General features: G+C 49.0%; 1 protein-coding gene across 4 annotated transcripts in view, besides 6 other annotated features; it reads left to right on the forward strand.

The window, feature by feature from the left end:
* The window catches only part of CHST11 (carbohydrate sulfotransferase 11), a 305067-nt gene that overhangs the window by 240891 nt on the left and 40004 nt on the right, over positions 1-24172 (forward strand). The window lies entirely within an intron of this gene.
* Positions 10412-11216: an enhancer, noted in NCBI's record as "NANOG-H3K27ac-H3K4me1 hESC enhancer chr12:105102028-105102832 (GRCh37/hg19 assembly coordinates)". NCBI's record gives its function as "activates a minimal SCP1, AML or CMV promoter by ChIP-STARR-seq in primed H9 embryonic stem cells {active_cell/tissue: H9 hESC(primed)}" and the evidence as "EXISTENCE:reporter gene assay evidence [ECO:0000049][PMID:30033119]".
* Positions 11217-12021: an enhancer, noted in NCBI's record as "NANOG-H3K27ac-H3K4me1 hESC enhancer chr12:105102833-105103637 (GRCh37/hg19 assembly coordinates)". NCBI's record gives its function as "activates a minimal SCP1, AML or CMV promoter by ChIP-STARR-seq in primed H9 embryonic stem cells {active_cell/tissue: H9 hESC(primed)}" and the evidence as "EXISTENCE:reporter gene assay evidence [ECO:0000049][PMID:30033119]".
* Positions 22520-22609: an enhancer, noted in NCBI's record as "active region_6932". NCBI's record gives its function as "activates an Ori minimal core promoter by ATAC-STARR-seq in GM12878 lymphoblastoid cells {active_cell/tissue: GM12878}" and the evidence as "EXISTENCE:reporter gene assay evidence [ECO:0000049][PMID:35858748]".
* Positions 22668-23296: an enhancer, noted in NCBI's record as "H3K4me1 hESC enhancer chr12:105114284-105114912 (GRCh37/hg19 assembly coordinates)". NCBI's record gives its function as "activates a minimal SCP1, AML or CMV promoter by ChIP-STARR-seq in primed H9 embryonic stem cells {active_cell/tissue: H9 hESC(primed)}" and the evidence as "EXISTENCE:reporter gene assay evidence [ECO:0000049][PMID:30033119]".
* Positions 22668-23319: a biological region, named in NCBI's record as "H3K4me1 hESC enhancer GRCh37_chr12:105114284-105114912".
* Positions 23270-23319: an enhancer, noted in NCBI's record as "active region_6933". NCBI's record gives its function as "activates an Ori minimal core promoter by ATAC-STARR-seq in GM12878 lymphoblastoid cells {active_cell/tissue: GM12878}" and the evidence as "EXISTENCE:reporter gene assay evidence [ECO:0000049][PMID:35858748]".

Here is a 24172-nt window from a genome sequence, read left to right on the forward strand (position 1 = left end):
TTCTTTTCCTGGGACCATGCACAGTGGCATGGCATGTCAGCCTTTGCCAAGTAAAGGGCGACTTCCTATGGCATTTTTGACCAAGTCTTGACTTTCTTACCTGGGTCATTTAAGAATATTTGGGCCTCTTCTCCCATCTGCTGTCAGCACCTGGTCCAAGCCTCATTACTCATCTCTTGCCTGGATGGGTGCCCTGTGTCCTTACTGGTCTCCTGGCGTCAATGTCCCCTAGTTGAATGCATCAGCATGTTTATTTCATGCAGTCACATATCAAGCCATTTATTCATCCATCATTGACTGGAGCCCTGTTCAGTGCACCCCTGTAACTGTTGCTATGGCCTCTCATTACCTGCAGAACCCAACCCAAATGCCTTAGCCTGGCCATCAAGGCATTTCATCATCCCAACCTCAACCCATTTCTCCAGCATCATCTCCATCTTCTCCACCTCCTCACCCACATGACTCCAAGCACTTGATGACAATGTTCTTGCTCCCTCTGCCAATGTTCCCTGTCTCTACTTGTGAAACACTTTCCTGTCACCTAGAAGTCACTTGGTAAGCTCAGTTCTTACCCAGGGAGCTTTCCTCGGGCTCCAGTGCAGGACTATCTTTTTCCTTGTCTGCTTCCGTAGAGTTATCTACCTATCATCACCTGTCTCTTCAGCTACAGTGCGCGCTCTGTAATTCCAAAGTTCTCACCCATCTCTGTAGTCTCAGGGCTAAGGGCTGTGTCTGGTATACAGAAGGCATTCAATTAAAGCATATTGGTGAATGTCTCCTGACCTTCCTTCCTGCACTTACCAGCTCGGCATAGGCAGTGCTACCACTCAACTGTCTGTTATCTGTTAGAAAGTTTTTCTGCTGAGCAAATTACTGGAGACATGATTGAAGGTTTGTTTAATCTTGAGAAGATAAATTAGTATTTCAAGAGTTTAACATAGCATGTGCAAATGAATATTCTTTATTATTAATCAGGAAGTCTTATCTGTTTACTAAAGCAAGCACTGTTTACTTGGAAACTCTTTTGAATTTACTCTTTATACTTAAAAGTAATTCAATTGAATGTGATTGAATATTGTCTTTAATTCTGACGTAGCTAGTTAAAAACCAAGCTTTTCCTAATCAATATGAATTAGGGAAGACTCTTCACTGGCTATCTGGCCAGTCTCTAAGAAGGCACAATAAATGACTCGGCTGCATTTTCTCAGCTCACTGCTTCCAAAATGACTAGTTGCATTAGAATCCCCTGGAATGCTGGTTAAAATACAAAATCTCAGGCCTCACCCTAGATCTAATGAATCAAATCTTTGGGTGGGGCCTGGAAAGCTGTATTTTTGTAGATGTTCCCCACATGATTCTAACATATACTGAGATTGAGAACTGTACATACAGATCTGTGCTTTCCAGTATGGTAGCTCACGTGTGGTGACTGAGCTCTAGAAATTTTGCCAGCCTGAATTGAGATGTGCCATAAGTATAAAATACAGATTTCAAAGAGTACAAAGAAAGTAAAATATCTCTTTCATTAATATTTGTTAAATATTAATTACATGTTAAAATGATATTTTGGATATATTGAGTGAAATAAATGATTAGAATTTATTCCACCTGCCTCTTTTTGCTTTCGAAGGTGGCTGCTAGAACATTTTAGATTGTAAGTGTGGCCTGCATGATATCTCCCTCTATGGGACAGCACTGGTCTCAATTGTAGGGTCACTGAGGACATGGTGCTTCCCTCCTGGTGGCTTTCGGATAGTTGGTGTTCATTGAATGTCTTTTGAGTGGACAAATGAGTGAATGAGGTTGACGCATAACACGTGGTTTCCACTTACCTACTATGGGACCTAGACAGGCTGTTTCACTTCTCTTATATCTGTAATATAAGCAGAGTAACTGGAGCCCTTTTGTTCACCTGCAGTTGGATCTCAGTGATTTGGGGAAGGATCTTGGGCCTCCACTTGCAGTGACTATAGTCACTATAGCTTCATCAGCAGGGGCGGGAAATGATGCTGCCTCCAGCTTGAGAGTGATGAGGCCAGCACCTCCTGGGAGCCCTCGATAATTTTATCTTCTTTTGCAATCCTTCCCCAAATCTCTTGGTTCCACTCAAAACTAGGAACAGTCCTGCCCACTGTGGCAAGCTGTGGTGCCCATCTCTCTTACAGCTGTCCCCACAGGACTACTATAATTATTCACTTTTATCCCATTGCCTGTAATGCATGACTCAACTCTAGAAATACCAGATTAAACATTTTCTTTTACATTTAAAACACTGGCTGTATTCAAATACTACCCATCTGGTTTTTTTTAAATCAGATTAGAAGTAAATGTCTTATTCTTCCAACTAAATTCCAGTACTACAAGGATAGCAAAACAATGAAACAGTAATACACTGGGGGTGTCGGGAATGCAGCAATAAACATTTATTAAAAATACTGATAGAATAAAATTTTTAAACTACCAAAAATAAAAAAGAAAATCATATGAACCCATTCTGAAATCCCCAAAGTCCTGGAATACAGAAGTGCCTGCCTCCTTCATTATTCCACAGGAGTCACTGTAGGCTTAAATGGCTCTGAAAATTACATATTTACTATGGTGGTCAAAAGAGCAGTCTTCAAAATCCAATCATCTAGGCTCATATCCCATCCCTACATCTTACTAGTTATGTGACTTTGGACAAATGAACTGAGCACCTCAGTTTCCTCATCTGTAAAATGGGGATAATACTAGTAATTAGCTCCTGTGTAAGATGGGAGGGTTATAGGTGACTAATGTATGTAAAGCAATTAGCGTGGTACCTGGCACCTGGTAATACATTCATATTGCTATTGATTGCTGTTTCAAAAACTTTTTCTTTTTGGCACCTACTCTATGCCAGGTATTATTGGATATCACCCAGTATCCCAGAGAAGGGAAGCTTTTTGGGAGAATGGCATAATGAAAGGATTAAGATGTAAACCGACATAGATTCAAAAAAGGAAAAGTTGGGCTGGGCGCGGTGGCTCACCCCTATAATCCCAGCACTTTGGGAGGCTGACGCAGGTGGATCACGAGGTCAGGAGATCAAGATCATCCTGACCAACATAGTGAAACCCTGTCTCTACTAAAATACAAAAATTAGCCAGGCATGGTGGTGCACACCTGTAGTCCCAGCTACTTGGGAGGCTGAGGTAGGGGAATTGCTTGAACCCCATAGGAGCTGGACAGGCAAAATATAGCAACAACAATAATAACACCAGATGCCTGCCATAGTCCAGTCCCATGACACACACAGTCTCATCTCCTCTTTATAACCCCTCCATCTGACACAGATGAGGCTCAGAGGGGTTGAGTAACCGGGCCAAAGTTAACTAACCTGCTGCTAAGTGGCCAAACTGAATCCAAACCCATGTCTTTCTGCCCAGAATGTGTCCCCTCTTTCTACTGACTCAGTTCTCTCCATTAAAGAGATGGGATCAATCCCTTTGATGTATCTGAAAATCTGTTTCATAATAAGACATCTCTTATACTCAATGTTATTGGGGACAGGCAAAAATAAATCATTGAGGTTGAAATGAGAAGGTCCCTGCTTTCTGTGAGCCCCAGACTGACCATAGGTGCATGAAGTGAACCCGGCGGGCACACTGCGTGGGGTGGGCTAATAACCTCCAGTACGAGAGGCCCAGATCTGAGAAGATGGGGCGGGCTGCCTGGGAGTACAGAGCTCCCTGTCACTGCAGGAGTCAAGCAGAGGCTAAAGACACAGTTGTTCAGGAATGTTCGGCATTGAGCAGACTAGCAGGATCCCTCCAGGTGAGACTTTAGGATGCTCTATGACATTTTCAAAGACCATTGGAGAAAAAGTATCTCTACCCCGGGTAACTCATAGTGTTTAATTCACCCTGCCATCTTACCAAGCCATGGGAAGTAGGGGGAAGCCTGGACTTGGGCTGCCCCAGGCCGGTCTGTGTGTTCAATTCAGGTGGGACTGAGCAGGGAAGGTGCAGCCTGATATGCACTTGGGTGCTGGACATGGCAGGGGGCACAGTGACTCTGGCTGTGTTCCCCTCCTGCCAGTATTGGGCTCCCAATATTGCTTCAAGTGGAGTTCACCTTGGTTTGGGGTCAGGGAGGGACTGAGAGGCATTCATTTCTGGCAGGCAGCCAGGCTGGCCTCACAGGTTCATGTGAGCTGCACCAAGCACTGCCAAGATCACCTTGGGTTCTAGAAGCCCATCTTTTATTCATTCGAGAAGCAGGCCGAGAGACTCTGCTCTATGACATTTTCAAAGACTGTTGGAGAAAATGTCTCTACCCCAGGTAACTCATGATAGTGTTTAATTCACCCTACCATCTTACCAAATCCTCCATTGCCCATTTCAAAGAAATCCCTATACCAGCACATGCTGGGTGCTTGATAAATAATAATAATAATAGCTAACAATTACTGAGTACTACTGCATGCCAGACACTTCTAAGTCATGCTCTGTGCTATTTCATTCACTTCTCTCAACAATTCTGTGAGACTGCACAGCAGCTCTAATTTGTAGATATGGAAACTGAGGCATAGGGAGGTTAAATCATTTGCACAAGGTTCACAGCAAGCAAGTCTGGGAACCTGGGTGGTCCTGAACCCATTCTGTGATGTCAACTGATGGGACATGGGAGGACTGCACCCAGCTGATTCCTCACGGTGGTCCTGAACCCATTCTGTGATGTTGACTGATGGGACATGGGAGGACTGCACCCAGCTGATTCCTCACAGTCCCTCAGGAAGCTGCAGGGAGAGGAGAGACAGCCCTTTGTCCCAGTGGTTGAGCGACTCCCCCGCACTGGGGCAAATCATCTCTCCCTCCCCATTCTCTCAGCTCCTTCCCAGATTCCACCCTGCCCCCAGCAGTCTCTTCAAGCACGTTGTGAACATTAAGTTATCCCCTGCTATTCATCTGAGCTGATGTTGGCTCAGACAGTACCAATTCGACGTTTCTCCAAGGGCGGACAGCGGGTCGGCGAGAGTCGATAATGGGTTCCAGCAGATTGGACGCCGTTCAGATCTAACTCGAGCCTGGCGCCCTTTGCAGACTTGGAGTCCAAGTCCTCCTCATGCCTTAGCAGCAAGTTCCAAAGCAGCCTGGAGGGGACGGCAGGCGTGTGGTCACCACTGACCTCCTGGCCCCACAGCCCCACACCCACACTCTCTAGGACTAATCACACGCAATGCTGGCTTCTCGCATTCCCCAGTGACTTTCCCTGTCATCTTGCCTGCTGCGTGCCTGCTGGCTCATGGGAACTCACCGGGGCGGAGACTTTGTCTGCTTCCTGCTGCATCCCCTGCACCTAGCACAGTGCCTGGGCCATAGTGGGTGCACCCTAGAGTATGTGCTAGGTGAATGCATTCATAATTCCTGTTCTTAGCATGAGGCAGCTGACACCTCGGGCCTCTCGGACCCCAGACTTGTTCCCGCAGCTGCCTCCTGGCCATCTTTATTTGGCGTTGCAAATTTGACAGGTCTGAAACAGCTCAGATATCCCACCTCAACAAATGCAACCTGGTCTTTTCAGGGTAAAATCCTCAGAGGCCTCTGTGACATCCTCCTTTTCCATGCCACACGTTTAGCCCACGCAGGTCCTCTCAGCTCTACTTTCAAAGGAGATCAATAATTCAACCACTTCCCCCCACCCCGGCTGCCGTCTTTCTTCTCCAGTCTCACCTGGATGAACCCATCCTCCACCTCCTCTCCCACCTGAGAACATTCTACTGCCGCAGCCAGAGCTGGTCTACAGCGTAAGTCGGATCATGTTCCTCCCACACTCACACCTCCAAGGGCTCCCAGCTCAGAGTGAAAGCTCAGAGCCTCCTTGTGGCCTGTGAGGCCTGGCACTGCCCACTCCATTCCAGGCTCACTGTGTGGTTCCTCGCATGTACCAGGCACATGCTAAGCACACACCAGGCACATGCCTTTGCCTTGCTGTCAACGCTGCCTGTAACACCCTTCCTCCAGGTTTCCCCATTAGTTCCCTCACTTCCTTCAGGCCTCTGCTCAAAAAATCACTTATCATCGACGCCTGGTTTTGAGGATGGATGAGTTTGCATGTGAGGGGCATTTAGAACAGTGCCTAGTTCAATAGCTGGTAGTTACGACCGGGTTCTTGTAACGGCTCCTTAGGGCCTGGTTCGTAGCTGATTCTCCTTTTGTTGAATGGGATATGTGTCCAGGGCCTGGTCCAATGCCTGGCACCAAGTGGGAAGTCAAACGTTCGTCGAACGGAAGGTGTAGAGACGAGCCTGGGAAGCAATGCACACACTGCTTAGTTCAGGCCATGGGAACTGGACAGTGTGAGAGAAAGGTGACAGCCCGTCACTTCGATATATTCTGGAAGCAAACTCCTTCCACCCCTACCTCCCCCCACTGTCTGTGTCACTTCCCTGGGGCCTAACCCTTGCCTTCTGGCTCCGTGCTCAGGGAGACCCAGGAAGGCCAGGGCTGTGGTCTCCTGGAAGGAACTGGGCTCCAGACCTGGCTTAATTGGGGCGGGGGAGGCTGCAGGTGAGGGAGGAAGGGGAAGCTGCGGGAGCCGGGCAGCAGCCCCTGCAGAGGTGAGACCTTGTGTTGGGCTCTCCCCGCCTCACCTGTGTTGCTCAGGTTCTGCCCAGGCATTCTGGGAACTGCTGCTGGTTAGAGGAGGGGGTGGGACCCAGCTGCCTTGACCGTCACTGCTTGTGGCCTTTCTCTGCCTCTCAGCTGGAGGCTTTAGCCAGAAGAGTCTGAGAATGAAGGCCATGGCCCAAGTCTTTTGTTCTCTTTCCAGGGCATAAAAACCTTGTCAATCTGCTGTTTAGAGTAGTTCAAAAAATACAAACAGCTGTTGTCCCTAACCAAAATCATGCTGCTGATAGCCCCAGAACCCTGGCCTTTGGAGGCCTCAGAACCCCGGCCTTTGGAGGGCTCAGATGCCTGGCTCATTTGTTCTTGGTGGCTTGGCCCCGAGGTATGGAGGAAAGCGGAAGGTTGTTGTCACATCCCGCATCATCCGGCCACCTTGGCCCCTCAGTACTCCTCCTGGGGCACTGAGAGGAGCGCACCCAGCTTCAATCTCAGGGGACTTGACAAAGGGTATTTAGTGGCATAGGTTTCTACCTGTTTATGTTCCGTATGCCTTAGTGTGTTGAGAAACAAAAAGCATGGACATTTTTTATGAATAATATTATAATATGAAACTCTCCTTCCCCTCAGAGAGGATGGGCCAGCTGTTTGGCAGAGAAGCCTCTCTGCTGATTAATAACAGCACCTTCACACTTTCTTTAGGCAAAATGTGGAGAAGTGCTTGCTGCCTACGGAGCCTGCTTTTGGGAAGATCTTGGTGTGGGTCACCTGGTGTATACAGTGTTACTGTTTGCTAAGTGGAAGCGTCATGGCCTGGAGGGTTTGGAGCCAGGGAGACCCAGGCTTCGGCTCCAAATTCATCGCTGATTCCCTGTGTTGCCTTCACCTCTCAGAGCCTCCGTTTTATTATCTCTAGAATGGGAATGATAGTAACCACTTTGCAGGGTTTCTATGAGGACCAGGGGTCGCAGGTATGTAAAGGGCTCAGCACATCCCAGGCGCCTGGTAAATGGGAGCTGTTATTCATTGACCTGGGCAACAGCTATTTTTTGGAGCACCAACTGTGCCTTAGATGGGAAATAAAATAAAAATCTCTGCCCTTGTGGTGCTCACACTCTAGATGGGGAGCCGGGTAATAAACAGATAAGCAAGCGAAATATTAATATATAGCAAGTCCGGAAGGTAAGGGCTGCAGGTTAAATAACGTGGGCAGGGCCAGGCGCGGTGGCTCACACCTGTGATCCCAATATCTTAGGAGGCCAAGGCAGGAGGATTGTTTGGGGCCAGGAGTTTGAGAACAGCCTGGCCAACATGGCGAAACTCCTTCTCTACAAAAAATACAAAAATTAGCCGGTCATAGTGGTATGCGCTTGTAATCCCAGCTACTCAGGAGGCTGAGGCAGAGAATTGCCTGAGCCTGGGAGGCAGAGGTTGCAGTGAGCCAAGATCGCACCACTGCCTGGGAGACAGAGCGATACTCTGTCTCAAAAAATAAAAAAAAAAAGAAATTTAAAATTAGGCATGGTGGAACATGCATGTAGTCCCAGCTACTGGGGAGGCTGAGGCAGGAGGATTGCTTGAGTGCAGAAGTTTGAGGTTGCAGTGAGCTGTGATTGCACCACTGCACTCCAGCTGGGGAGACAGAATGAGGCCCTATCTCAAAAACAGATAGATATTGGTGGGTACAGTGGCTCACGCCTGTAATCCCAGCACTTTGGGAGGCCGAGGCGGGCAGATCACCTGAGGTCAGGAGCTCGAGACCAGCCTGGCCAACATGGTGAAACCCTGTCTCTATTAAAAATACAAAAATTAGCCAGGTGTGGTAGCGCATGCCTGTAATCCCAGCTACTCGGGAGGCTGAGGTAGGAGGATTACTTGAACCTGGGAGGCGGAGGTTGCAGTGAGCCGAGATTGCACCACTGCACTCCAGCCTGGGCAACAGAATGAGACTGTCTCAAAAAAACAAACAAACAAAAACAGATAGGTAGATAGGTAGGTACACAGGTGGGTGGGTGGGTGGGTGAGTGGATGGAGAGGGAGAGAGAGAGAGAGAGAGAGATGATATATAGAGTGGTCAGCGAAGGCTCACTGAGTAGATGGCATTTGAGAAGCGACCCCCTGGCAGTGAGGGAGATGACCCTACCTACACCAGGAGACATTCACTTTCTATCCCTGGAGAGGCAGCCCCCAGCCTTGAATGACTTTGGGGGCAAGGTCTCTTTTCACTGTTTTTGTCTCATTGGAAGTGGGCTTTCTGACACGAGGCTCTCAACACCACCTGCCTGGCCTCTCCCCTTCATTCCTGAGCCTTATTGATCAACCAAATTGCCCTCCACAAACTCAGCTATCTTCTGTCAGACTAATGTTATATTTTAATGTCCCAGGGGGAAAAAATGAGTCTATGCCACTGTAGAGCTGCCACATTTTAATATGGAGAACTTGGGGCAAAATGTAGCTGAAAGGGGAGAGGAGAGAAGGGGTCGGGAGGAGGATGGGATCACAGCGAGGCTCTGAATTGAGGTCCATTTCCACCCTTTGGCGGCATAGACTGGAAAGAAAATACGGGACAGTCGTCCTCCCACCTCCTGCCAAGGCCACCTCCTTCTCATCATCCGAGTCTCAGTGCAACTGTCACCTCCTCAGAGAAGTCCTCCCAGACCAGCCCACTGCAGCACCTTCCCAGACCCTGCTACCACCTGAAATGATGGAAGTGTTTTAGGTTGGTGGTTCATTTTCTCCGTTAGAATGAAAGTGCCAAGAAGGCAGGAAACTTGTTTTCCAAGAATCTAGAAAAGTAGTTGGCACAAAGTAACTGCTCAGTGCTCATTTGCTAAATGGGTGGGTGAAACCCCTTCCTACAGAGTCGGGGCAGGGGTCCCCCAGCCAGCGTTTTTCAAAGTGTAGTTCATGTCCCACGAATGGGCTGTGATATCACTTTAGTGACTCATAGTTACTGGCATTTAAAAAGTGAAATAGAAAAAATAAAAAATAGCGCACACTACACATGGTAAGGATAACTGTTGTTTTAAGAAATATATATGGAATGATATACTTTATTTCTCATGTAGTAGTCAAAAAATTTGAAACTCAGCAGTGAATGCTAAGTTTTCTCAGCCTAGATGACTTCAAAAGGAACATTCTTCCCCTGGAGACTGTAAACCTAGTCGCATAAAGTTTACATTCTGGGGCCCCAAAGCAGAACCTGAAGAAAAGATTCCTTTGTTTTCTATTAGCTGAAAAAAATGAATAACTTTCCACTGTAGGGGACCCAGTCTCCTAAATCTCCACTGACATACATGGGATCATTTACACACTCACATACAAATGCACACACACACAGATACATGTATCATATATACCCACTGACAACGAGGACACATAGACACATACATACATGCAGGCAGATACATCCATACATTCAAACACACACAGGTGCAAGCACACAGCAGTGCACTCACAGATGTGTGCATATACAAACACACATGTGCACATAGACACATGCAGGCATGCACACAGATACAAACACATACAGACTCATGCTCACAAGCATGCATGTGCATACAGACACAGTTTTATTCAACACATGCACATACACACAACACACATGTCCATACACAATCATCCTTATTCTGTTCCATGCACTGACACCTTCTCCTCCCCGGGGAGATTGTCGGGCCATGTTCAGATGTGCACCCTGGCAAGGGAGAGTGTGGAACACAGCCTCTCTACTAACCAAAGTCAGTGGGGTGTTAGGGGTGGGTGCATCCACAGGCTTTGCAGTTAGGCCAACTTGGGTTCAAATCTCCACAGAGTGACTGAGTGACCTTGGTCAGGTTACTTTATTTCACAGAGCCTGATTCGTCACCTGAGAAATGGGGCTGATGACAGTCATGCCTCCTTCCCGGGGGCGGCTGTGGGGATGAGCTGGGAGCAGGGTTGTCAAAGGCGCCAGCTTTCCCTGCAGGTGTGTGGGACCCACTTGTGCCCCTGCCCAGCTGTACGGCATTGGACCAGCTCCCTGGGCCCAGATACCTCTTTTGTAAAGTGAGGATCTCCTATCTCTGGCAGGATCCTGGTGAGGAGGAAACAAGGCTCTGTATGAGGAGTGACAGCTCCGAGGCTGGCCAAGCTTGCAAGGTGCTCAGGGTGTCCCTACTCCGTCCTCCAAGGCTTCATCTTCCTCCAGGTGCCCCCTCCTAGCCAGCCCACCCCATGCCGTCCTCACCATCTCTGGGGTCACACGGAAGCCAGGCTGGGCTCCCCTCTGACAGGGACGCTCTCTAGAAAACCACAGTCTGGGCCATGTAGAGACATCCCCTTGAAATGCCATCTGTGACTTCTCAGATGGGTCTACTCTCGCTCCATCTTCCCCCATCTCCAGAAGGCTCCAGCACGATGACCCTGTATTACCTGCGATGCGGCAGGGGCCCCTCGGGTGCCCCAGTGAGCATCGGTTGAAAAGTGTGTCATTTTCACCTTAGTAGCTTCATAGAATGTGGCCTTACGGAGAGGAGATGACAAAGCTGTGAATGTAGGGAAAGAGAAAGGTCATGGGGCAAGGAATGGGGATCAGCCATCCTGGGCCCAAGGACAGAGCATGTTCACATAGGGCACCCGGGATGAGGAGGAGCAAAGCACCAAGACCCGGTTTCGGCTTTACATTTGCCTTCAGAGCAAGACAAAGCAGCAGATGTCAATGACAAAGAAACTGCAAAACAAAGAAATGCTTAAAACTTGACCAGAAAGCAACAGAGTTAGCCTGCCATCTGATGCTGCCTCCTGGCCCTCCTGTGGGGACCTACGAGCCCCCTGCACCCACAGCCTCGCCCCCACACCCAGGGTTCGCTCCAGGGCCTTCTCTCTCTCCTCAGCTTCCTCCTGTCATCAGGTAGCAAGTACATGAGGCTCTGATAGGAGCCAGGCATGTGGCAGGTGGCTTTGGGGACAGGAAAGCCAAAAGGCAGACGTGGCCCTCACAGGCTGTCGTCCGGTAGAGGGACAGGCACTGTCCTCATAGTGATGCCCACCATTGCAAAGCATGCTGGAGATTTCTCTGCCAGCTCTGGGTGGGGCCGGGGAGCTGGAGTGAGCTTGTGCAAATGAAAGAGTTGACTGGGAACATCTTATTTAATCCTTACCACCTTCCTTTGAGGCAGGTGCTACTGTGACCTGCCGAGAACCCAAGACTAGGAAGCTGCAGAGTTCAGCCAGCCCATGCGGTTCTTTCATTAAGAAGCCCGTCGCAGGGCACCCTGCGGTCCATTTCTATGAAATGTCCAGAATAGGCAAATCCGTGGAGACAGAGAGCAGGTCAATGGTTGCTTAGGGGTAGGGGGATGGGGACAGAGGGTAACAGCGAAAGTGGGTGGTGGGTACAAGGTTTCTTTTTGAAATAACAAAAACTGAAAACCATTGAATAATGTACTCTAAATGGGTGAAATGTATGGTATGTGACTCATATCTCAGTAAAGCTGTTATTCAAAACTTTCAGCTGGGCATGGTGGCTCATGCTTATAATCCCAGCATTTTGGGACACCGAGGTGGGAGGATCACTTCAGTCCAGGAGTTTGAGACCAGCCTGGGGAACACAGCCAGCAAGACCCCATCTACACAGAAATTCAAAAAATCTGCCAGGCCTGGTGGCATGTGACTGTAGTCCCAGCTACTTGGGAGGCTGAGTGAGAGAATCTCTTGAGCCCAGGAGGTTAAGTCTGCAGAGAGCCATGATTGCGCCACTGCACTCCAGCCTGGTCCACAAAGCAAGACCCTGTCTCAAACAAAAAAAGAAGTTTTTTCATGTGAAGCCAAGCCCTTGATTCCTCTGTCAGCTGGCCTGTGGCTGCAGCGAGGAGGGAGGGAGAAAGGGAAAAGATGCACAAAAATTCTTGCACCGCTGGCGTGGTCTTCAGTTGGTGCTGGCTGTCTCCAGACTGGGCAGACATTCCCAGCAGGCTCTTTTCTTCGGTGGCACTTCCGTGGGCTCTCTGGGGAATCAGTTTCCTTAATAAGGCTTCATTCCCGCTTGCGGTTCCCAACTCATTCCTCAGCTCCTCTAGGACTGGAAATCCATCCTATACCCTTCCAGGGGACCCCTCCTCCTGGACAGGCCCAAGCATGACCCCTCCCTGGAGCAAGGCCCCCTCTGGTCCACAAGAAGCTACATTCATCTTCTTCCTGGAAGGTCTGGGAGGGCCAGCTGCACTCCAGCTTTTCCTTTGATGTTAGTTAGCAGTAAGTCACAGGTTTGAGCCCCCAGACGATGAGTAAACGTGGCCCCTCAAACTGTAAGGGCACATATATTAGGCTCTTCAGTGATTTAACCTCCCCTCTTCTATTTAACACATGGGAGGACATCTCCCAGGCTTCTCCCATAGGTATATGGGCAGGTGTGACTTCCAGCTCTGAAGCATCTCTCCAGCAAACTTCTCTACAGCTTCTTTCCCCATCTCCTAAAATCCAACCCTTTTGTGCTCCATGTGGGCAAAGTTGAGTGGGACTGTGGTTACAAGTTGAGAGTAGTTCACCAGCTATTAGCCTCTATCGTAGAGTCTGCTTTTAGTCCAGGACCTCTTTTGGATCGAGCATCTAGTATATTTTGATGTTTTAGCAAAACTTCCATTTTAACATCCTGTTGCAATTATCAAATATTTGCGTGGGGGGTGTATATTCTTTCTTCTTCCCTAGAGCAACTGTGTTGTGTCATACTCAGTAAAACTGTATTCATGCCAAGATGGGCTTGTACACAGAGCACATTTCCTGAGATGCCCTGTGGATGCTTTTTTAAATGTCCCTTTTAAAACAGTGCCTGAAGTTCGCAGATGGATTTAATTTTTTTCACTGGTTTATAGATGCACTTCCTTTCATAGGCAGTCCCTGGCACTTTCTTGCCCTAACTCTTGCATAGGTTATATATCCAAATAAAAAATGCTTCTTACAAAAAGAAAGAAAAGAAAGCTGACGTTTCAGCGTCACATGGAGATGGTAGGAAATAGAATTAGAAATGATCCCTCCTTCCCTTATACTGTGAATAAACAGCCAGGCTCATTTTTTTTTTAAAGTCCTTAATGGCGATTTCCCAATTAATCTTGGGAACGACCCAAGGACAATGTCAGCCAATTTATAATTGAATCCAAAGTGGGGGATGGCAGGAGTGGGAAGTGAGAGGTTTATTCTCTTCTCAGCCATGTGCACTGACATTTTTTTAAGCCTACAAGGGTGAATTTAAAAGGGCCTGAGAGGGTGAAGTAGAGGTGACAGCCAGATTCTTTAAAGACAAGTGATGCTTTAAAAATTAAAAAAAAATAAAAAATAAAAAACTTTGGAAGGAAATAGCTAAACAGGACTTAGATGAGTCTTACATCTCTGGGTTCCAGGTCCACCTGGGGCTCAGGATTTTACAAACTTGCACTGTCTCATTCCAACAAGGAGAAATAGGAGGCCACTGAGGCAGAAGAAGCTTCCGGGAGGCTTCAGACTAGTCCAGCTGGTGCTGCCTCTGACCACAGTTTAGCTTTATGGGAGGGACGGGACAGGCAGCACCTGATGTTGGAAGGAGAGGAGTGTTCTGGGGGAAAAGCTGAGTCTCACTGGGAATGTGTTGATTGGGTAAGAACACGTTAAGGTTGGGCTGGGGCAGGTCAGGAATGAGTGGTTAGGATGGAAAAGTCAAGCTGGGAGCTCACACTTATCAAGTGTTCACCATGCAGAAGGCGCGGGGTGAGCATTTGACACCAACTGTACCATTTGGTTTCTGTGAGGTGGGTACTGTTACTCCTATTCCCATTTGACACCTGAGGAAACTGAGGCCCACATAAACACAACATCTTGTCCAGGTGCACAGCCAACTGAGGGGTGAAACTCAAGTTTGGAGTGTGCCTTCAGCATCTCACCTTGACTCCTCATCTTCTGTAATGAGGTAACAGACAAAGGGAACAGATAGTCCATTTTGATCTCGTATTTACTGTGTGCCAGTATAAAGCGCCTCACAGCAGCCGCCCCTTCTTGTACAACCACTTCTTTACACGTGAGGACATTAGGACCCAGAAAGGTGAAGGAACACACAGCTAGAAGATGGTGGAGCCAAGGTCAAAATCCAGGTCTGTCTGTTTCCAAAGGCCAGGCAGCCATTTTCTCCCAGCCCCTGAACTCCATTCGGAGTTGCCTGGAAAGCATTTGGTGTGAAGGAGCTGGCCACGTCTACACTAATCAGCTGTTAACCCTCAGAACTACCAGCCGAGAGAAATCCTGGTCGGCCAGAGCCTCAGTCCCTGAACAGTCCCCCTGACATTGCATGGAAATTCCTAAAACCAACGTCATCATTCTTGAAACCTCCCTCTACAACACCATAAATGCCCTTTTCTCCTGGGCTGAATGAATGGAGACCGTTTCTCCCAATTTATGGGGTGATGCCAGTTTGGCTGGGTAGTTCTCATAGGCCCTGACCCTGGCAACTTAAAGTCTTCCGTTATTTGGCTGGGGACAGGGGGATTGTTATTTTAGGAGACAATCTTCTATTGTTCTGTGCAAGCAAACCCCATCCCCCTTCCCACCTTCCCCTCCAGGACCCCCGAGATAAATAAGAAAATGCACTCATTAAACAAGTCCAACCCCTAATTCATGCGGCTTGCAGTAAGGACATAGGGAAAATGGTTAGCACACAGCAGCGTGTTCTTAAGGATCTGCTGGCAGCTACAGAAGACAAATAATGAATGCCTTGTAACCCAGCCTGGCCACACCATTCCAGGAGCTCAGCCTTATCAAACACAGGCCAGGTTGTAGATATTTCCACCCCGGGCCCTCCTCCGAATCCAATAGGTATTCAAGGATGTGGCTGGACTGCATTTATTCTGCTTGGGGATTTGACATGACATGACTGTCTCCCACTCTTTAGCCAAAGTGAGACAGTGGATTGTAGGTGTATTTGTGAGATGGAGCCCTCCAGGATAGAAATCAGCCAAGCTAAGCCAGTGTCCTGGGAATGGGACTATTTGCCTGCCTTGCCTACTCTGAGCACCATCAATGTACCTGCAAAATCCAGGTGGGAACCAGGGTGTGTATAGCCAAATGTAAAGAAATTTTTCAAAACGGCTCTGTATGAAGATAAAAGATCTGAACAGCTTACTCTGCGTGAGTTTCGAATGGCAGCTAAAGGGTAGGTAACAGGAGCCGATACCTGGCTCTGCACCTCCTCCCAAAGGAGTCCTGCTGGTGAAGGATGCCGTGCTGGGCCACTCTTCTGTTTGCCGACTTGGCTGACTCCTGAGGCCAGGTCCACACCGGGCTATGTGTTTCCTGATTTGAGGCCATTTATCCTCATTACCCCATGATGCTGCAGTTCAGGCTCTCTCATTGCAGCCAGGGCTTCCTAACCGGTTTTCTCCCCAGGCCAGCTCCTATGGATGAGCAGAGGCTGCCTGAAGAGTTGGAGCAGCAGGCGAGGCTAGGGTGTAGAGAGATACGTTCGTTGCATTTTTGCCAACCCACCCATAGCTGCCCCTTTATTTTCATTCTGGCAGTGGGTTCTCCTTGGGTTCTCCAACCTGGAAGCAGCTTGAGCAGCCTCCCTGCCACCTGTCATGTGCTCTAAAGATGCCTCCTGGGTAGTAAGGCTACCCCCTGCCTCCCACCTAAGCATAGCTCAGAGCATTGCAATGTGACCATTACATGTCCAGTATGGTGGGTTGTACAAGCACATGGATGTTTATATATGTATCTCAAAGGTCAGAGCATGTGAAGAAGGCGCACTGGGAGAGTCCCACTAAGGGGAGCCCCATCCCTGTAAACAAACTTGTTCAAGTCCCTATCACTGAGGCCCCCTCCCTTTGGCTGGGGAGTGCTTCCTGCTTCCTCTCCCACAAATGCCAAAGGATGCAGCAGATTGAGGCACTGGGGAGAAAGTGCCCAGCCTGGGAGATTGTGAAGTGGAGTGCAAAGCCTTACCTGCTAGTAGAGGACCATGGGACCTTGGTCAGTTTCACTGTCTGCAAACTGAGCTTGTTTTTCCCACCATAGTGGTGATCTGTCAGGGCTGGGGCAAAGGTCAGAAGCCTGATGGATGGGAAAGGGCTTTAAAATATAAAATTGCCTGATAAATGTGAGGAATTTGGGTTTGCTTTTGTGGAGGTGGTGATGATGATGATGATGATGATGATGGTGACGGTGATGATGACAAGGACAATAATGAGCTCAGCCAGACACAGCGGCTGCTTGACGTTCACCCTGGCACCACATGGGAGGCCTTTCTTCACAGTGAGCTTCGTGGTGATGAGCACAGCACAGCCCAGCGTAGTGTAGGATTTATTTTAGGTGCAGCGTGGGGTAGAGATAAAAAGACTACCTGGGTTCCAAATCTGGGTCCACCACCCAGCTCTGTGACTTTGGGCTGGTCACTCATACTTTTTGTGCCTCAGTTTCCTCATCTGTAAAATGAGAATGATAACAGTATCCTAGAGTACTCAGTTTCAAAGACCATGGGCTAGAACTCAAGACCTAATGTTCCGATCCAGACCCGAAGCAAGCTGGGGTAGCTGACCTCGAGGCAGAGCTGTGGGAAGAGCCCACTCGTGACCTGGATGCGAACCCTTGACTTGCCAGAAGTCCATGGGCAAGTTCTGGCTCCTGTGCCAGCCTTAGTTTCCACATCTATAAAATAAAGACAGGCCGGGCATGGTGGCTCACGCCTGTAATCCCAGCACTTTGGGAGGCCAAGGCAGGCGGATCACTTGAGGTCAGGAGTTCGAGACCAGCCTGGCCAACATGGTGTAACCCCATCTCTACTAAAAATACAAAAAAGAAAAAAATTAGCTGGATGTGGTGGTCGGCGCCTGTAATCCCAGCTACTTGGGAGGCCGAGGCAGGAGAATCGCTTGAGCCCAGAAGGTGGAGGCTGCAGTGAGCCGAGATCATGCCACGGCACTCCAGCCTGGGTGACAGAGTGAGACTCTGTCTCAAAAACACAATAAAAAATAAAAATGAAGACAGTAACGGTTACTTCTCTCAGAGCCACTGGAAGGGATTAAATAAGACCCTGCATGACATAATCATGTGATTATTAAGTGCCGGCTGCCAAGCTAAACACTTTATATTGTCTCAATCCTCCCAGCGATACGGAGGTACTATTATAAGTCCTCACTTTATAGATGTGCAAGTTTGGACATCCAGAGGAGCATGTTGTAGGTCACCCAGCTAGAGAGGTACAGGTAGAGGAAATGGACCCAGGCCAGGGTTTGCCTGGCTGCCAAAGGATGCTGCTGCCCTAACTCCCAGGAGGGCCCCCACATGCACCAGCCCCTCCCGGCTTAGGCTCCTGTGACTCCCCTCCCCCTGACAGGAAGCCTTGCCACCTTGCTGTCCCCACCCCTGGGGGATATCGCTCAGGGATGAAAGGGTTCTGGGGCTGCAGGCTGTTGTTGGAATAAATGAGCTCGTGTGTGTCGCGCCTTTCTCTCGTTGAGAGAGCATCACCCTGTGCATTCTCGATGAGCTAACCTGACCTATAGCAGTATTAGATCCGCGTTTAATGGACAGCCGTGTGCTGCAGAGAATGAACAGTCAGTAAAGGCCTGTTGACTGTCAGCAGGCTCGGCTTGGCTCAGCTCCAGCCCAGGCCTGGGGTCTGTGCCAAGCCCAGAGAAAGGTATAGCTCAAGCCCCTAGCTTGGGTGGATCTGGTGGTGCTGTGTCTGCACACGGGGTGCCAAGGGCTCTGTCATATTTAGCCCTTTGAATATCAGCCCCAGAGCCAATGTCGCAGACATCTGCTTTAAATGGGGACTCCCTTCCTTTAGGGTAGAGAGAAACCTTAGAGGCCAGAGTCACACCGTCCTTCTTCTCTGGGATGGCCCCCATCCCTTGTCATTTCAGATGCAGCATAGTATAGTGATGGAAGCACTGCCTGGGTTCCAAATCTGAGTCTACCCCCACCCAGCTGTGTGACCATGAGCACCTCATGCAAACACTCTATGCCTCAGTTTCCTCATCTGTGAAATGGGGATGATAATGTTCCTTTCCTCATGAGTATTGTGAGAAGTAAACGAATTAATATATGGCACATTGCCATGCACGTAGTAAGTACAGAAGAGTGTTTCTATGATCGTCTCGCATCCATACCTGTCGTAAATTAGTGTCCACTTTTGGCTGTGAGTGCCATGAGGGCAGGGGATGGCCTGTCTTCTTCATTGCTGTGTCCCAAGGAAAGTTCTCAGGAAATATTTGCTGAATACATGAAGGATGCATGAGCAAACACATACGTGATCGCTCCCAACGTGCCTGGGGGAGGCAGGGGCAGGGTCTGTGAATGCTGCTCATCCACGGAGGGCTTCACAGGCCCAGAATTTACCTTAGATTCGAAGACGAAGGAATCATCTGGTACTATCTTAGTTTCCTATTGCTGCTGTAACAAATTACTGCAAACTTAATGGTTTCAAACAATACACATTTATATCTTATGGTTCTGGGGCTCAGAAATCTGATGTGGATCTCACTGGCTAAAATCAAATCAAGGGGATTATTGCTTCGGGGGCCACCTTCATTCCTTGGCTCATGACATGCTTCCATCCTCAGAGCCGGCAATGGCCAGTCAAGTCCTTCTTGCATCTTATCACTGAATCCCCTGCCTCCCTCTTCCACGTTTAAGGGACCCTTGTGATTACAGATTACACAGGACCCACCCACATAATCCAGGCTAATCTTTTTATTTTGTGGTCAGATGATTAGTAGCCTTAATTCCATCTGCTACCTTGATTCCCCCTTGCCATGTAACATAACGTATTCACAGCTTCTGCAGGTTAGGATGTGGACATCTTGGATGCAGGAAGAGCGGGAGGTTATTCTTCCAACCACAGGGATTTTCAGTTAGTCAGGAAGATGGGAAAGTGAATGAAGGAATTCTCCATTTAGCTGCCCCAAAACCATTTTGAGAGGGAAAGGACTTAGACCAGCGCTTCCTTCAGTAGGTCTTCATGGTATCTCTTTCTGAATTGCATGGCTCCAGGCTTCAGGGATTTTTTTAGTCATTTTCCGGGGATGGTCATAAGTGCCAGCAAGACAAGCCTCAATAAAGGCCAATAGGCTGGGCGCTGTGGCTCACACCTGTAATCCCAGCACTTTGGGAGGCCGAGGCAGGGGGATCATGAGGTCAGGAGTTCGAGACCAGCCTAGCAAATATAGTGAAACCCCGTCTTTACTAAAAATACAAAAATTAGATGGTGTGGTGGTAGGCGCCTGTAGTCCCAGCTACTCTCGAGTCTGAGGCAGGAGAATCACTTGAACTTGGGAGGCGGAGGTTGCAGTGAGCCGATATCACGCCACTGCACTCCAGCCTGGGTGACAGAGTGAGACTCTGCCTCAAAACAAACAACAACAACAACAGCAACAAATTCGCTGGGCAAGGTGGTGGGCGCCTGTAATCCCAGCTACTTGGGAGGCTGAGGCAGGAGAATCGCTTGAACCCAGGAGGCATAGGTTGCAGTGAGCCAAGATTGTGCCACTGCACTCCAGCCTGGGCGACAGAGCAAGACTCTGTCTCAAAATAAATTAATTAATTAAATTAATAAATAAAAGTAAAAGACAATAGGGCAGTAGCCCAGATGCAGAATCAGGACTTGTTCATGGAGCCCCTCCCACGTGCCAGCGTTGGTTGCATTCAGCAGCGGCCCCACTCCTGGGCCCATCTTTATTGAGCACTTACTATGCGAAAGGTACTTTGCCAAGCATGAGATGCCCATTCCCTCACTAAATTCTCATGACAGTCCCTTGAAGTAGTTTCAGTTGTCAGCCCCATTTGACAGATGAGACAGCTGTGGTACAGAGGGGTTTTGTGACTTGCCTGAAGCCACACAGTCTGTCAGTGGCAGAAGTGGGATTTGAACCCAGGGAGTTGGACTCCAGAATCTTCTCTCTTTCCTGGCTTGACCTCCTACTTCTCTACCATTCACGCACATTGTTCCATTGCAGCTGCACAACCACCAGGTGAGGACGGAATTTCGTTTGAATCCCTACTGCTTAGATACGGAGACTGAGGCTGACAAGGATTGTGTGGCCAGCCCAGTGTCACTCAGCTGTTCAGTGAGCTGCCTGGGCTCTTTCTCCACATCACACTGCCTTCCGTGTGTTACTAATGAAGAATGAATTTCTAGAAAATGAATATTTTCAAAACACTCCCTGCCACCTGCAGTCCCTTTGAGGAGTGGCGATTGTTTGTAGTTCCCCAGGCCCCCCATAGAGGTAAGCAATCACTCCTACTTTAGAACTGAAATTGGGGGCGTCTCCTCCCTGCCACCCAGGACTGTCATTTAGCCAGCCAGCCTGAAGACTGCAGCAAGCAGGCAGATGCAATGCTTGCGAGAGTAAACTTGGCCAGTCTCCCAGGAACTCCTTAATGAAAAATTTCATTCCGGTGGACGAGAGTGGAGTCGACACAGTCCTCATTACTGCCCAGGTCTAAATTAAACAAGACAAGGGAGGTTCTTGAGGAGCAAGGCAGAAGTTACTGAAGGCTTGAACAGTAAATTGCAGGAAAGGAGCTTCTGTCGGGGAAGGTTCTCCGACTTTCCAGGGTGCATGGAACCCCAATGCATTTCTCCTTTGGAGGATCAACGGCCACTTAGGTTGAGGGTACAGAATGGGGCACAGTAAACCCAGCCTCCTCATCCTTCCCTCTCTTGCTGGGTGAGGGCTGGGCTGCAGGCGCGGCCCCCAGGACTCTGCCTTGGTGGCTATGGTTCCAGAATGGTGACGCCCGGAAGCAGACACTCCGCAACGTACTGTCTTCTAGGCTGACAGCTCTTGCCTCCCCAGCTTGAATACATGCTCAGTGGGCCAGGGTTGAGTTCTGGAGTCCCCATGTCCCTTTGTAGTGACACCAGCATCTCTTTCTAGATAAGGGGCTTGCATAAAGAAATGCCATGTTGGCTTACAAGTAGGAAATCATGTTCTTTCCCATCAATTGGATTTCTAGGTGACCACCTGAGATCCGAAGTTCTGGAAGTCAACACACCATCCACCCACGCTCCCCTTGCCCACTTCACTCTGTCTCTCTCGTGCACAGGTGCACGCACACAGGGCTCAGGCTGCAGTCCGACAGAAACATAGGCTTCCTGCCATTAATTGGAGGGCCCTGACTGCAGACACAGCATAACTATCTATTCATAGTCTTTTTTTAATTCTAAGAAATGCTGCTCTAGCTATTACCTACTTCAGGGCAAATGACTGGCTGGCGTTATCAGCATTTTTCAAGTTATAAACACCCCCTCTTAGCTGGGACCCCTCTTTATTTTCAGTGTTCTTCAGAATGAGGAGTTGGGGCATGGCCAGCCGGCCCTGGCTGTGGCATGGAGGATGGACTGGCCCTGGGCACTCAGGGAGGGGTGGCGGGGGCTGCACCCCATGGCCAGGGGACAGTTACAGGCACCACTGTCCCCAGATGCCCCAGGGAACACTGTGTCCCAGCTGCTTCTACGTAACAATCCAGGCCATGGCTTTCCTTGTCTTGCACCCATTTCCTGGAGGAAAAGCGGGAATGGTTTAGGAATGGGTCCCTGCTCCGTGGCTCCTGAGAAGAATTCCCTCTCTCCAGACTAACGCTGGTGTCCAGGCACTTTTCCGCCTTTAGATCCAAAGCTATGGAGGGGCTTGTAAACATGTTGCTTTTTGTAAATTGAATAAGTGGACTTGTCTAGTTTCGTAAACATTGCTGGCGGCATCCGGAGCCCCAAGAAGCACGCTTCCTCCTGAAACACTGCCCTGCAGGCAGGACAGCTCCCCGACTCTGGCATCAGCTGCCATGTCTTGAGAGTCTACTGTGTGCCAAGCATTTTACCTGCAGAGTCTAATTTTATCCTCAATCTTATGCAGTGGGTACCAGGATTTTCCCTTTTTACAGATGAAGAAACTGGAATTGAGGAAGGCCGAGTTGCTCCCCACAGCCTCACGATCGTGAGAGGCAGGGCTGGGACTCATGGCGTCCAAGGCGTTTGGTGCTGTGTCTCTCCCTGAGGGCTGCGTGCAGCCTCCCCTTCCAGACCCCGCACGGTATTTCCTCATCCAGGAAGACAGGACCTAGGGCTGGACGGCAGCTACACTCATGTCATGCGCTGGGAGGGTCTCCCGGGGTCTCCCCAGGACCACGGCCACCTACCACCCCTGTCCCCTGAAGATAAATGATCGCAGCTGCAAATTTCAAACAGTGTGACGTGCTGCGGTCGGCAGCCAAGACAAAAAACCCACAGACGTTTGGCCTTTGAGGCAGAGGAACACCACGAGCTTTCTGTTGCTTTTCTTTTGATCTGCTGTTTGATTTTAAAAAGGGGAAAAAAAAAATGGAGAGGATCAGTGAGTAGAAATCTAATTTGAAAAAAAAACAAAACAAGTTCACAAAAACAGGAAATGTCGTCTACCGTGGACCAGTCGCTGCTGCTTTGGGACTTTTAAAATGACAGCACGTCTTATAGACGCCGTTCACCTCTCCTAGTGAGCCTGGAATTCTGGGGCTCAGAGGAGCAAGGTTGAGAGGTCGTGGATGTAGGAAGGGCGGAGAAACCATCTCATGTGCCCCGCAGCGTTTGCTCCAGGGCCGGGGCTGGTCCTCGGCTAAGCTGGCTTCCTTGGTTTTTCTAAAGGAAGACTCATGACTTCCCTGAGAAATGTTTGCTTACAAAAGACTGAAACCCACCCTGTGGTGCTGAAACCAAGGGGAATTTAATGCAAGAGCAAACCCTAAAGCCAGAAGCTGGGTTTGGGCCTGGCCCCATCCCCATCCCCATCTCATCAGGCATCACAGATTTAAGGAGTAGGGCTGTGGGTCCCTGGTGCTCTCTGAGCCCTTAAGTCTCTGGTGGGGCTTATCTCTGTGTCTCTCTTTCTCTCCCACACAGATACAGACACACACAGCCACACACACACCAGAGCTACCTCAGAATGGTGCCTTCAGCATAGAGCCTTTAATCCCACATGGGTCCAGGGCCCCACTGGCTCACTGTCTCTGACCGTCTGTGCCACCTTTATGGGAAAGAGAGTCAGATCGGTTCATGTATCTCTGTGCCTCAGCTTCCTCTTCTGCAAAATAGGAATGCTAATGGTATTTCTATCCCGGAATGTCTGTGAAGGTGCCATGGGTTAGACAGTGTGCTCAACTCATTCAAACTCAGGCAAGTGTACCCCTGCGCCTGATAGAGAATGAGTGCTCAAAATGGGGTGTGACTACTGTCCTTCCTATTGTACAGCGTCCCTGGTATAAGGAGTTACGTGAACAAACGTTTTCAGAGCCACCTCAAAGAGAACACAACCAGCATAGAAAAAAAAATAGATCGTTTCACTGAAAGAACCACTATAAATACTCCATGATAAGTCAGATTTCTGGAAGATATTGTATAATTTTCAAAGCACTGCCACATACATGGCTCAGGCGATTCCCCCAATATTCTGAGATATTACTGAGACTAATAAACAAGGAAATAAGAAGTTAAGGTATTGCCTGAGGTTGCACTGTCTGCAAGTGATGGAGTTTAAACTCAGATCCACGTCCCACCTCTAAATTCTCTGTGGGTTTGTTGTTGTTTGCCTGTTTGGTTTTGGGGGGTTTTTTTGAGA

Source organism: Homo sapiens, chromosome 12, assembly GCF_000001405.40.
Source record: "Homo sapiens chromosome 12, GRCh38.p14 Primary Assembly".
Classification (NCBI taxonomy): Eukaryota; Metazoa; Chordata; class Mammalia; order Primates; family Hominidae; genus Homo; species Homo sapiens.